Source organism: Homo sapiens, chromosome 6 (assembly GCF_000001405.40).
Source record: "Homo sapiens chromosome 6, GRCh38.p14 Primary Assembly".
NCBI lineage: Eukaryota > Metazoa > Chordata > Mammalia > Primates > Hominidae > Homo > Homo sapiens.
Genome location: NC_000006.12, coordinates 34,656,574 through 34,669,308, shown reverse-complemented (window position 1 = coordinate 34,669,308; position 12,735 = coordinate 34,656,574). Strand labels below are relative to the sequence as shown.

General features: G+C 41.0%; 1 protein-coding gene across 6 annotated transcripts in view, besides 5 other annotated features; it reads left to right on the top strand.

Annotated features, from left to right (window-relative positions):
- ILRUN (inflammation and lipid regulator with UBA-like and NBR1-like domains) overlaps positions 1-12,735 on the top strand; it is a 109,480-nt gene that overhangs the window by 27,459 nt on the left and 69,286 nt on the right. The window lies entirely within an intron of this gene.
- Positions 6,955-7,136: a silencer, noted in NCBI's record as "fragment chr6:34629950-34630131 (GRCh37/hg19 assembly coordinates)". NCBI's record gives its function as "represses an EF-1alpha promoter that drives an FKBP-Casp9 reporter gene in an ReSE screen in K562 erythroleukemia cells {active_cell/tissue: K562}" and the evidence as "EXISTENCE:reporter gene assay evidence [ECO:0000049][PMID:32094911]".
- Positions 11,148-11,727: an enhancer, noted in NCBI's record as "NANOG-H3K27ac hESC enhancer chr6:34625359-34625938 (GRCh37/hg19 assembly coordinates)". NCBI's record gives its function as "activates a minimal SCP1, AML or CMV promoter by ChIP-STARR-seq in naive H9 embryonic stem cells {active_cell/tissue: H9 hESC(naive)}" and the evidence as "EXISTENCE:reporter gene assay evidence [ECO:0000049][PMID:30033119]".
- Positions 11,148-11,780: a biological region, named in NCBI's record as "NFE2L2 motif-containing MPRA enhancer 28".
- Positions 11,636-11,780: an enhancer, noted in NCBI's record as "145 bp enhancer 28 fragment used in the MPRA reporter construct; PK_construct_3396". NCBI's record gives its function as "activates an SV40 promoter by MPRA in HepG2 cells {active_cell/tissue: HepG2}" and the evidence as "EXISTENCE:reporter gene assay evidence [ECO:0000049][PMID:23512712]".
- Positions 11,703-11,713: a transcriptional cis regulatory region, noted in NCBI's record as "NFE2L2 motif; enhancer activity is reduced when this motif is scrambled". NCBI's record gives its function as "necessary for full MPRA enhancer 28 activity {active_cell/tissue: HepG2}" and the evidence as "EXISTENCE:site-directed mutagenesis evidence [ECO:0005528][PMID:23512712]".

Below are 12,735 nucleotides of genomic sequence, written 5' to 3'. Positions count from 1 at the left end.
AAAAAAAAAAAAAAAAAAATAGCTGGGTGTGATGGTACATACCTTTAGTCCCAGCTACTCCGCAGGCTGAGGCAGGAGGATCACTCGAGCCCAGGAAGTTGAGGCTACAGTGAGCCATAATCATGCCACTGCCTTCCAGCCTGGGCAACAGAATGAGACTGTCTCATAAAAACAAAAGACTCATGCTTGTAATCCCAGCACTTTGGGAGGCCAAGATGGGTGGATCACCTGAGGTCAGGAGTTTGAGACCAGCCTGGCCAACATGGTGAAACCCTGCCTCTACTAAAAATACAAAAAATTAGCCAGGTGTGGTGGCGCACACCTGTAATCCCAGCTACTCAGGAGGCTGAGGCAGAAAAATCACTTGAACTTGGGAGGCGGAGGTTGCAGTGATCCAAGATTACGCCATTGCACTCCAGCCTGGCGACAAGAGCGAAACTTCATCTCCAAAAAAAAAAAAAAAAAAATTAGCCAGGCATTAATTTTTTTAAATAGTAGTCCCAGCTACTTGGGAGGCTGAGATGAGAGGATTGCTTGAGCCCAGGAGTTTTAGGCTGCAGAGAGCTATAATCCTGCTACTGCACTCCAGCCTCAGCGACAGAGTGAGACTGTCTCCAAAAAAAGAAAAGAAGGTTTCAGAGTTCTCACAGGTAGCCTCTGAAGGCGTCTTGGATAAGGCTGAGTCTTGACTGTTTTTGTGATCTTTTGTAGATGGGCCTATTATTATTATTTTAGCCACTTTTTACTTTTTATCAGTTTATTTTAGGTCTTGGGTGGCACCACGTAACAAGAAAAGTAGGTGTTATCATCTCAGTCTGTTATGCATGTGTTTATCGATTTGAGGGGTGAACATCACTGTGGGCTGAATGTTACTTGATGTGAGGGACTATTTTGAGACATTAGGATCACAGATCATTATATCAATATATAAGTTGATGTACATTTGAATTTTTACTTACTGGCTATATTATGAATAAAGCTGCTGTGAACATTTCACTTGTGAGACTATGTGGACATATTTTTAAATTTATCTTGGGTAGATACATAGGAAGGGAATTGTTAATTTGTATGGTAAGGTTATATGTAGCTTTTTAAGAATCTGCTAAACTGTTTTCCAAAGTAATTACCATTCTACATTCTTAGCAGCATTGTATGAGAGTTCTCTCAAGCTTTTATACTTTTTTTTTCCTGAACCATTTGAGATAACTTGCAAGGATTGTGAGATTTCACCTTTAAGCCCTTCAGCAAATATATCCTGGGAGAACAAGAGCATCATTCTACATGACTACAGTACTATTGTCACTCTGAAGGAATTTAACATGGAAACAAAAGTATTATCTAATATATAGCCCATCTCTAAATTTGTTCCCAGAATTGCCCTTTACAACCTTCCTTTTTTTAATGCAGGATCTTCTCAGGGATCTTATGTTATCTTTGGTTATCATGTCTCTTTAGACTTCTATCTAGAACAGTTCCTTCGCCTTTTGTGGGTATTCTATGACATTGACATTTTTAGAGTTTATGCCAGTCGGAGTGTCCTATGTTGTTGGTTAGTCGTGATTAGAATCAGATTATTTTGTTGGAAATAATACATAGATGATGCTATGTCTTCTATTGCGTCACATCAGGAGGCATATTATGTTAGTTTGTCCTATTACTGACTATGCTAAAATTGAATATTTGGTTAAGATAGTGTCCACCTGTTTTTCTCCTTTATAGTTAATAAGTAATCTGTGGGGATGACTCTCAGACTGGGACTACCCTGTTTTCCCAACAGTCTTCCTCTCCACTGTTTTAGTATCTATTGATGATCCTTGACTGAGTTGATACTGCATAGGTGGTTGCAAAAAGGTTGTTATCTAATTTTGTTGTTCCATCTTCATTTATTGTTTGGCATTCTTCTGTAAATATATTAATTTTTAAATAGAACATATCAAATTAGGGAAGGAATTCATGGTGAATAAAGCCAAATTTAGGTCATGTTTTAGTTTAACATTGTGAGCCTAAGTGTATTTGCCTTACCTTCAGCCATACAGGATCCAAAAAAGGGGGTATTGAGAAAGATCTCCTTGACTTTGTAAAGCTTGAACTACATAAACACCTTCATTCACTATGTTTACATTATTTGGGGATGTGTGCTGCTTTTCTGTCTTTGAGAGACCAAACTTTCTTCAAGGAAGAATCAGAATAAACTATAGATAGATTTTTTTTTCCTCTCAGTTTTTAGTATCTTTTTCTTTGTAAACCAGATTGGATAGTTTTTTTTCATGTATATTCGAGTGGCTTTATGATTTTTTGATGGAGGGGAGGGCCACTAATTTTACTGGTGATAATTACGCAGTGTCATGTAAAGAAGCTATTTTTAAAAGTCCTTTTATTCTGGAATGCATAAGAAATGCCATAGTTGGATGAGCTGTCTCAAACCTGCTTGGTTATCATCTGAAGAGTTGGTTGCCCAGAACATGAAAACATTAACAGAATACGTGAGATTGTTTGCAAGTACAACAGGACTTTTACAGGATATATTCTTTAAGTGTTGTATCCCTTGTTTGTGCTGATTAGTTATTAAAAATGATAGCATTCTCTCACATGTCACATATTTATACTGTCATTAGTTTGTAAAAGAAAAGGAGGACTGTTAACTCTCAGGCCTGTGAATTATCATAAAATTTGTTTTTATTCTTTTTCCAAGTTCCATCTAGTTTTAGCCCCCTATTTGTAAGTATATAGCTCTTCTTTTTTTTGAGATGGAGTTTCGCTCTTGTTGCCCAGGCTGGAGGAGTGCAATGGCGCAATCTTGGCTCACTGCAACCTCTGCCTCCCGGGTTCAAGCGATTCTCCTGCCGCAGCCTCGCGAGTAACTGGGATTACAGGCATGCAACACCACGCCTGGCTAATTTTGTATTTTTAAGTAGAGATGGGGGTTTCTCCATGTTGGTCAGGCTGGTCTCGAACTCCCGACCTCAGGTGATCCGCCTGCCTCGGCCTCCCAAAGTGCTGGGATTACAGGCATGAGCCACCATGCCCGGCCAAGTATATAGCTTTTTAAAGGTACCTATATACCAGAAAGCAGCCAAATATGTCCACAGAGTACTTGGAGATACTGGCAGCTGAATGAGTAGAGTTGGGGGTCAGAGTTTAAATGCCATGTGGCATTCTTTGGTAGTATTAGGTAACATGACATTGTCTTTGCCCATCATATATTAGAATTTGGCTAAGGTTTGTTTACCTTTTTGCTCTTGCAGAGAGAATAAGATAGCATAGGGCTATAGATTTTTCTCTTAGATGTATATCCTAGGGTGCATTTTTCTGGGTGAAGTATGTTGATGGTATGGCCAGCATTTTTTTTTTTTTTTTTTAAGCATAGATGAAACTGAAGGTACTTTGAAGCACACTGTCAGGAAATCTCAAAGGCAAGAATTATTAGACAATTGTAAAGTATTTTAATCAAAAGTGTATGCAAAAGTGTGGCATTTCTTCTTAAAGCCTATGCATTTTTCACTGTATGCAGAAACAAGAGGATGGAATGTTGGTTCATAATTTTGTTTTTTTGGCATTTTTTTCCTTTTTAATAAATGAAGGCTGGGCGTGGTGGCTCATACTTGTAATCCCAGCACTTTGGGAAGCTAAGGTTGGAGGATTGCTTGAGGCCAGGAGTTCGAAACCAGCCTGTGAAATGTAACAAGACCCTATCTCTATTATAATTAAAAAATCAAAAACAGCTGGTCATGGTGGCTCACGCCTACTATAATCCCAACACTTTGGGAGGCTGAGGTGGGAGGATTACTTGAGGCCCAGCGTTTGAGACCTGTGTGGGCAACATAATGAGACCCCCATATCTCTCCTTCTCTCTCTGTCTCTTTTTTTGAGACAGCGTCTTGTCGCCCACAGTGGAGTGCAGTGGTACAATAACAGCTTGCTGCATTCTTGACCTCATGGGGTCAGGCCTTCCGAGTAGCTGGGACTACAGGTGTGTGCCACCAAGCCTGGCTAATTTTTTTTTTTTTTTTTTTTTTGTAGAAAAGGGGTCTCCCTGTGTTGCCCAGGCTGGTCTTGAACTCCTGGGCTCCAGTGATCCTCCTGTCTCAGCCTCCCAGAGTGCTGGGATTATAGGCGGTGAGCTACCATGCCTAGCTTGAGACCCCCATCTCTACCAAAAAAAAAAAAAGATAAGATGAGCCAGATGTTGTGGTGTGCACCTGTACTCCTACTTGGGAGGTTGAGGCAGGACGATTGCCTGAGTCCAGGAGTTCAAACCCGCAGTGAGCTGTGAGTATGCCACTGCACTCTCCAGCCTGGGTGACAGCACAAGACCCTGTCTCTCTCAAAAAACAAAACAAAACAAAAAATTGCTGGTATTTTTTAGAAAACAGCTCTCTGACCAGGATGAGATACATTTGACTGCTGCTGGTTTATTGTAAGTTCCCTGTTTGGTAACAAACTTTTGAAAGGCATGCTTCATTATAGATTTATCTGATCATTTCGTAACTGCTATTTTAAACCATTTCCTGAAGTTTCATGAGCAACGATAAACCATAGACATTTTGTTTATAAAGATAGCTTTTTCTCAGTCACATTTTGTTTGTCATTCTGGGACTTTTTGGGTATCATATATTTTCATGTCTCTCCTGGGCCAGTGGTCCAGCATTTTCAAAAATTACAGTTAACACTGAACCTAGTGATTGTTTCCCATTTTGGGAAGTATCCATGACAGTTTAATTCAGGGGGCAACAAGAATGGGAGTTATTTCTAAATATGTATCTTTGATGGCAAATTGAGTTCTTGGAAGCAGAGTTATTATGAAGGAAATGACTCAGCAAAAAAACAGCACCATTTTGATCCCGGTGCTGTGGCATGCTCCTGTAATCCTAGCTACTCAGGAGGCTGAGGCAAGAGGAACCCTTGAACCCAGGAGTTTGAGACCAGCCTGGGCAACATAACAAGACCCTGTCACCAAAAAACCCGCAAAACCCCACCATTTTCATTGCAGTCTTTATTCTGCTTTCATATTCATAGTTTTTTCTTGTTATGATAAACATTTTCAAATATACAGTAAAGTAGAATAATACAATGTGTAGCCATTATATTAGTTTTTGGTGCTGTGATACATTACCACAAACTATGTGACTTAAAAACGCACACATTTATAATTTTAGCAGTTCTGGAGGTCACAAGTTCAAATGGTCTCTGCACTAAAATCATGGCGTCATCAACACTCTGTTCCTTTTGAAGAATCTTTTCTTGCCTTTTCCTGCTTCCAGAGGCTACAGGCATTCCTTAGCTCACGGCCCTGTTTCTCCTTCTTCAAAGCTGAGTCGTTCTTACACTGCTATTTCTCAGTTCTCTCTTTAACTTCCCTCTTCCACTCTTAAGGAAGTGATTGCATTGGTTTCATCTGGATAATTCTGGATAATCTCCCTATTTTAAGGTCAGCTGATTAACACCCTTAATTCCTCTTTGCGATATAACTTAACATATTCATAGGTTCCAGGGACCGGGACATTATTAGGATGATGAAAATGTTCTGAAACATGATATTCTAAACATGGTGATGGTTGTACAATTCTGTAAATTTACTAAAAATCATTGAATTGTACAATTGAAATGGGTGGATTTTATGCTGCATAAATTATACCTCGGTAAAATTGCTTTTTAAAGAGACCTTAGCTGGACGGGGTGGCTCATGCCTATATTCCCAGCACTTTGGGAGGCCAAGGCAGGAGGATTGCTTGGAGTTCAAAACCAGTCTGGGCAACATAGTGAGACCCTGTCTGTCTCTCTCTCTCTCTTTTTTTTAAGTTTAAAATTTTAAAGACAAAAATTTTAGAAACCTTTAGGTGCTCTCCTTTCATTTTAAGAGTAAATCTAAATTTCATTTTCTTCTTTGAGACAGGGTCTCATTCTGTCACCCAGGCTGGGGTACAGTGGTATGATAATAGCTCACTGCAGCCTCAACCTCCTGGGCTCAAGTGATCTTTCCACTTCAGCCTTCTGAGTAGCTGGGACTATAGGCACGCGCCACTATACCCAGATAATTTTTCAATTTTTTTGTAGAGACAGAGTCTCACTTTGTTTCGCAGGCTGGTCTTGAACTCCTGGCATTAAGTACTCCTCTTGCCTCAGCCACCCAGAGTGCTGGGATTCCAGGCATGAGCCGTCATGGTCCTTTAGTGGTGAAATGTACTTAACATTTCCCATCTTAACTCTTTTTTTTTGAGACAGGATCTCACTCTGTCATCCAGGCTCGTGTAGGGTGGCATCATTAGGGCTCACTGTAGCCTTGAACTCCCGGGCTCAAGGGATCCTCCCACTGCAGCCTCCCAAGTAGCTGTGACTATAGGTGCACACCACCCTGTGTAGTCCCAGCCTGGCTAATTTTTAATTTTCTTTTAAATTTTATAGAGACAAGGTCTCACCATGTTGCCCAGGCTGGACCAGTCTTGGGCTCAAGCAGTCCTCCTGCCTTGGCCTCCCAAAGTGCTGGGATTACAGGTGTGAGCCACCATGCCTGGCCCATCTTACCGATTTTTAAGTGTACTATTCCGTAGCGTGTTAAGTATATTCACGTCATTTTGCAAACAATCTCCAGGATTCTTTCATCTTGCAAAACAGAAACTATGTACTCATTAAACAACTACCCACTTTCCATGTAAGTATTTGACCTTTGTGACGGACTTATTTCACTTAGCATAAAATCCTCAAGGTTCATCCGTAATGTTATGTGTTTTCAGAATTTTCTTCCTTTTTAAGGCTAAATAATATCCCATTACATGTATAAATCATATATTGTTTATTTGTTCATTGGTCAGTGGACACTTGGGTTGCTTTCACCATTTGACTCTTATGAATAATGCTGCTCTGAACACGCATATTCTTTTTTAGAACTGCTTTCAGTTCTCTTAGATACCCAGAAGTGGAATTGCTAGATCTGAGTAAGTTTTAACTTAGTGCTCCAGCTTCTCTTCTATGTCTTTTTCTTTTCTTTTTCTTTTTTTTTTTTTTTGAGACGGAGTCTTGCTCTGTCACCCAGGCTGGAGTGCAGTGGCGCGATCTCGGCTCACTGCAAGCTCTGCCTCCCAGGTTCACGCCATTCTCCTGCCTCAGCCTCCTGAGTAGCTGGGACTACAGGCGCCTGCCACCACGCCCAGCTAATTTTTTTTTTTTTTTTTTTTTTTTTTTTTTTTGAGACGGAGTCTCGCTCTGTCGCCCAGTCTGGAGTGCAGTGGCACGATCTCGGCTCACTGCAAGCTCCGCCTCCCGGGTTCACGCCATTCTCCTGCCTCAGCCTCCCGAGCAGCTGGGACTACAGGCGCCCGCCACCACGCCCGGCTAATTTTTTGCATTTTTAGTAGAGACGGGGTTTCACTGTTTTAGCCAGGATGGTCTCAATCTCCTGACCTTGTGATCTGCCCACCTGGGCCTCCCAAAGTGCTGGGATTACAGGCGTGAGCCACCGCGCCTGGCCTCTTCTATGTCTTTTAATTGGCTTTGTACCTTCCATTCAAACTCTCCCTAGAAGCCATTATACAATATTGAACTAATTTGGACCTATTATGTTGAAAGTAACAAACTTACTTCAAACTAGATAATGATAAAAGGGTTTCTTTAAGGATATTTTTATGTTACACAGAACCCAAAGACAGAAATATGTTTGTGCTTCAGGAACAACTAGACTCAAGGACTTGAAATACCTTTAGGTTTCTTTCTCTGTGTGTTTTATCTAGATGTTTGCAGTGGTCTTTTATCTCTGTTGAAGAGAGCCATGACTGTCCAGAGCTCTCAAATGTGTAGTTTATAGACCAGATACTATGAGAGAAACTTTCTTAGTTCCAGTTCCAAATTTCTCAGTACCCCCACCTCCATGAGCCACCGTGCCCAGCCCTTACAGAACATTTTAAAGAATTGTAGAGTGTATAGCCTTGTGCCTACCACCTAGATTCCACAATGGTTAACATTTTTGCCATATTTGCTTTCTTTATGTAAGATTTTTAAAAAATCATTTGAAAGTTGTAGACATTTTATGACCCTTGATCTTTAAATGTTTCTGCATGTATTTTTTAAAAACAAGGATATTCTCATACATAACTATGTACTATTACCTAATACAATAATAAAACAATGCCACCACTTCCTTTCTTTTTTGTGGCAGAGTACTTATTTTTTATTTTCTACTTGGAAAATGGTATAGCTGCTGAAGACAGAAGGACCAGTTCTTAAAAGTAATAAAATTAATGGATCAATAAATAGCCAGGAAACGAAGAGAGGAGAAACAATTTTAGATGCCATAGGGCTCTAAGAAGTGGGTAAAATGTTGATATTAACTTTGTCCCTCCTCTGAATGTAATTTTCCACAAATTCTTTTTACTAGTTGTCTTCACGTATTAAAGAGTATCTGCGAGTACATTTTTAGGTTGACAGTATTGACCGTTGCCTTTAGCCCAACTTGAATTCCCTATTTGCGGTCATCTTTCTGTTTCAATGAAAGTCTTAGTTTCTTTCCAGGCTTTAAAATTCATAGTAGTTACAAGTATGTAATGTTTGGCCCCTCTTTTTGGTATTCCATGTTAGATTCCTCTCACATTGATGTTGGAAGGCCCTGGTTAAGAGCATCTATTTTGCTGAGCCTTTTTCCGGCCAAATTACCTTTTTGGTCATTCAGAGATAGTAAGGTCTTCTTGATTCTTGGTGGTACATGGCTTTAGTAGCAATATTATTGGCGTATCCCAGGTGAGGAAAACCCCTTGTGGTTCAGGATAACAATGTCTTGAAGCCCTAAGATGCTGTTGTTCATGCCTGATAACATGGGTTCATTATTCTGTTTCCCATTTTAATTTGTGTCCAAATAAGGTTGGTAGTTTTCTTTTTCTCATAAATAATTTGTGTTCTTTTGAGTTTCTCACTTGTTCAGAGAATGGAAAGAAAAGGTATCTAGTTTTTTTTTTTTCCTTGAGAATCTGAGCTAATGGCATTCCTTCTCTATTTCTGATTTTTTAAATTTATTTATTTTTTTGACAGGGTCTCACTGTTGCCCAGGCTGGAGTGCAGTGGCGCAGTCTCAGCTCACCGCAGCCTCACCCTCCTGGGATCAAGTGATCCTCCCACTTCAGCCCCCTGAGTGGCTGGGACTATAGGTGTATGCCACCATGCCTGGCTGATTTTTTTTTTTTTTTGAAGGGATGAGGTTTCGCCATGTTACCTAGGCTAGTCTCAAACTTCTGGGCTGAAGTGATCCACCTGCCTCTGCGCCTCCCAAGGTGCTGGGATTATAGGCATGAGCCACCACACCTGGCCTGGTTTTCTTAACTGTTTTCTACTGCCATATTTTTGAATGATGTTTCTGGCCTCATATAAATATATAGATGATTTTTCTTCCTAAGACTGCCTTATGGGCCGGGCGTGGTGGGTCACACCTGTAATCCCAGCACTTTGGGAGGCCAAAGCGGGTGAATCACCTGAGGTTGGGAGTTCGAGACCAACCTGACCAACATGGAGAAACCCCGTCTCTACTAAAAATACAAAATTAGCCGAGCGTGGTGGCACATGCCTGTAATCCCAGCTACTCCGGAGGCTGAGGTAGGAGAATTGCTTGAACCCGGGAGGTGGAGGTTGCAGTGAGCCGAGATAGCACCACTGCACTCCAGCCTGGGGATAGAGTGAGACTCCGTTAAAAAAAAAAAAAAAAAAAAAAAAGACTGCCTTATGTATGTATATATACAACAAAAATAAATGTTCTATGTTTGTGAATATATGCAAGATCAATTCTTTAAAGAATTCAGTTTAATGGGGGTTACAATTCATTTATAGAATTCATAATGGTAATTAGTATGTTAAGAAAATCAGATGTTCAGAGTGTTATATAATTGGAAATTCTGGGTAGGTTAAAACTTTTGAATAGGTGTGGCTCTGAATTCTAATAATTGCCTAGCCTAGGGCAAATTAACCTCGCCTGTCAGTGCCTCAGTAGCCTCATCTATAAAATGAAGGTTGGACAGAGTTGTATTTTATCAGGAAACATGTCAGTGTTACCAAATTCTTCTCCAGTTCGGGTTAACTTCATTGTCTGTGCAGTTGAAACTGTGCTGTGTACCAAGCCCATCTTTCACCCTAAGCAGGAAAAGCTGCTTTGGGCCCATAGCCTCTGTGCGAGAGGCATTTGGAGTTAACCTTTGTTTGAATGTCCCTGGTTAGCTATAGAGTATAAACACTGAAGGCAAGGGCCATGCCTGTCTTGCAATTTGCTGTATCCCTAATGCTCCAGGCCAGGTGCCTGGCACAAGGGTAAATGCTCGTTCATTAAATATTTGTTGAATGAATGACTGCCAACCAGGACATTTGCATACGTTGCCTCTGCAATCTTCACAGCCAACATTATAATGAGATAGGTAGTATCAACTCAGTTTTGCAGATGAGTAAAACTGATGGGGAAAGGCTTAGCTGCTTGTTCAAAACCCCACAGCCAAGAGTTGGAGCTGACTCTAAAGATCACAGTCTTTTTTTTCTTGAGATGGAGTCTTGCCCTGTTGCCCAGGCTGGAGTGCAGTGGCGCAATCTCAGCTCACTGCAAACTCTGCCTCCTGAGGTTCAAGCAATTCTCCTGACCCAGCCTCCCAAGTAGCTGGGATTACAGGCGCCCACGACCATGCCCAGCTAAGTTTTGTATTTTTAGTAGAGACAAGGTTTCCCCATGTTGGCCAGGCTGGTCTCGAATTCCTGACCTCAGGCGATCTGCCCGCCTCGGCCTCCCAAAGTCCTGGGATTATGGGTGTGAGCCACTGTGTCCTGCCTAAAGACCATACTCTTAAAAAAAAAAAAAAAAAAGAAAAAGAAAAATTATTTCATTGTGGTAAAATCTGCATGACATGAAATTTACCATTTTAACCATTTTAAGTATACAGTTCTGTGGCATTAACTATATTGGCAGTGTGCAACTATTACCATCATCCATCTTTTTTTTTTTTTTTGAGACAGAGTCTCACTTTGTTGCCTAGGTCAGAGTGAGTGCAGTGGCACAATTTTGGCTCATTGCAACCTCCGCCTCCTGGGTTCAAGCAATTCGCCTATCTCATCCTCCCAAGTAGCTCATTACAGGCATGCACTATGCCCAGCTAATTTTTGTATTTTTTGTAGAGACGAGGTTTCACCACGTTGGCCAGGCTGGTCTCAAACTCCTGACCTCAAGTGATCTGCCTGCCTCTGCCTCCCAAAGTGTTGGGATTACAGGCGTGAGTCACAGCATCCAGCACCAGCATCCATCTTAATCTGTGCTTTTTATCACTGTTAACGTTGCCTCTGTTTGTTCTTCAGGGTACTTTTAACCATCTGAAATTAGATTTAAAACTTTTTTGAGCAGAAAAACTGAAGGAATCTGGAGGTTTAAACTTTCAGACTGCACTGAATGCTGGGTCAATGTTTTCCCTTTCCCATCACCTTAGCCAGCTCCATTTCATGAAGAATTACTTGTTGGCTAATAATAGCTGAGTATGTTGTTTTGAACAGGAATACCTGCTATCATGTCTACTTTCTGACACTGAATTGGAGCTGTTTGGTCTATGCCTGCTGTTGCTCAGCCTAGTGGGCCAGTAATTTAAATTCTCTGAACTCTGAGAAGCTGTGTACCCCACATTTGTAGCTGTGTACCTGCTTGATGGGTTAGATCACTCGGGCTAAAGTCCACTTTCTGCCTTGTACTTGGGAAATGAATTTGCTTTGTCATCCTCTCCAGCTTCCTGCCAGGATTCCAGTTCGCTGCTTTCAGTTTCAGTTTGGGGTTTAAAAATGTTTCTTAATCTTTCTCTGGCTGAATTACCTGTATAATACACATACAAATAAGCTTTGACTGTGGGATAAGTTGGAAAGGTGTGAAAGGAGATTTGAGGATAGGAATGGATCTGCCTAAGTTGGGTAGCTTGACTTTCCCACTTACTAGTGTTCCTACTGCAGTGGTCTTAAAGTCCTATCCTGATGGCAGAGCCAAAGGGTGAAATATGACACAAGCTGGGGATGAGAATTGGCAATTGTCCTGAGTGCACAAATAGTTTCTTCCCTCCAAAACATATTTTGCAGCCAAGTGAACAGAAAACAATTCAGCAGGCTACTTACTGAAGACCTGCTGCAAAAAAATTCTGTTTTCAAAACGGTAGACATACAGCTTTTCCAAAATGTTTTCAAAAGAGCAAATTGCAAACTAGGCTTATTTTTCTCCCATATTCTCCCTGATCCCTAAGTGTAATGCTAATTCCAGATATACTTCTAAGCCTGTTTGTGGATGGTAGGGGCTGGATTTCCCCAAGTTTGACCAGTCACAAACATCCTTCACTTTAGATCACTGTCAGCTAGACAGGAAACTGCTGAGAAGACTCAAGTTCAAGCTTTGTATTGAATAGTCAAGCAAACAGGTGCAGTTTGGCCCCAGCCCAGCTCTCTTTATGTAAATATTATCAAGCACATATACCATAGGCAGGCCATTGGTATTGTAATTTCAGTCATTACTGACTAATATGACAGGCCACCATTGCATGAGGCTTGACCTCAGGTACCTGCTCTAATTATAGCCTTCCTTTCTGGCAGCTGCAAGCACCTGGAGGAGCAGGCAGGCCCCCAACAGAAAATTATTTGCTGTTATTAGCATTTCTGTTGATCAGTTGTGTACTGTCAGAGCTTGTTTCATGCTATGTTTATGTATAATTAAAAACAGCTCAGTGGATTCGTTGGTTTATGGTTGGATTATGTTTAGAA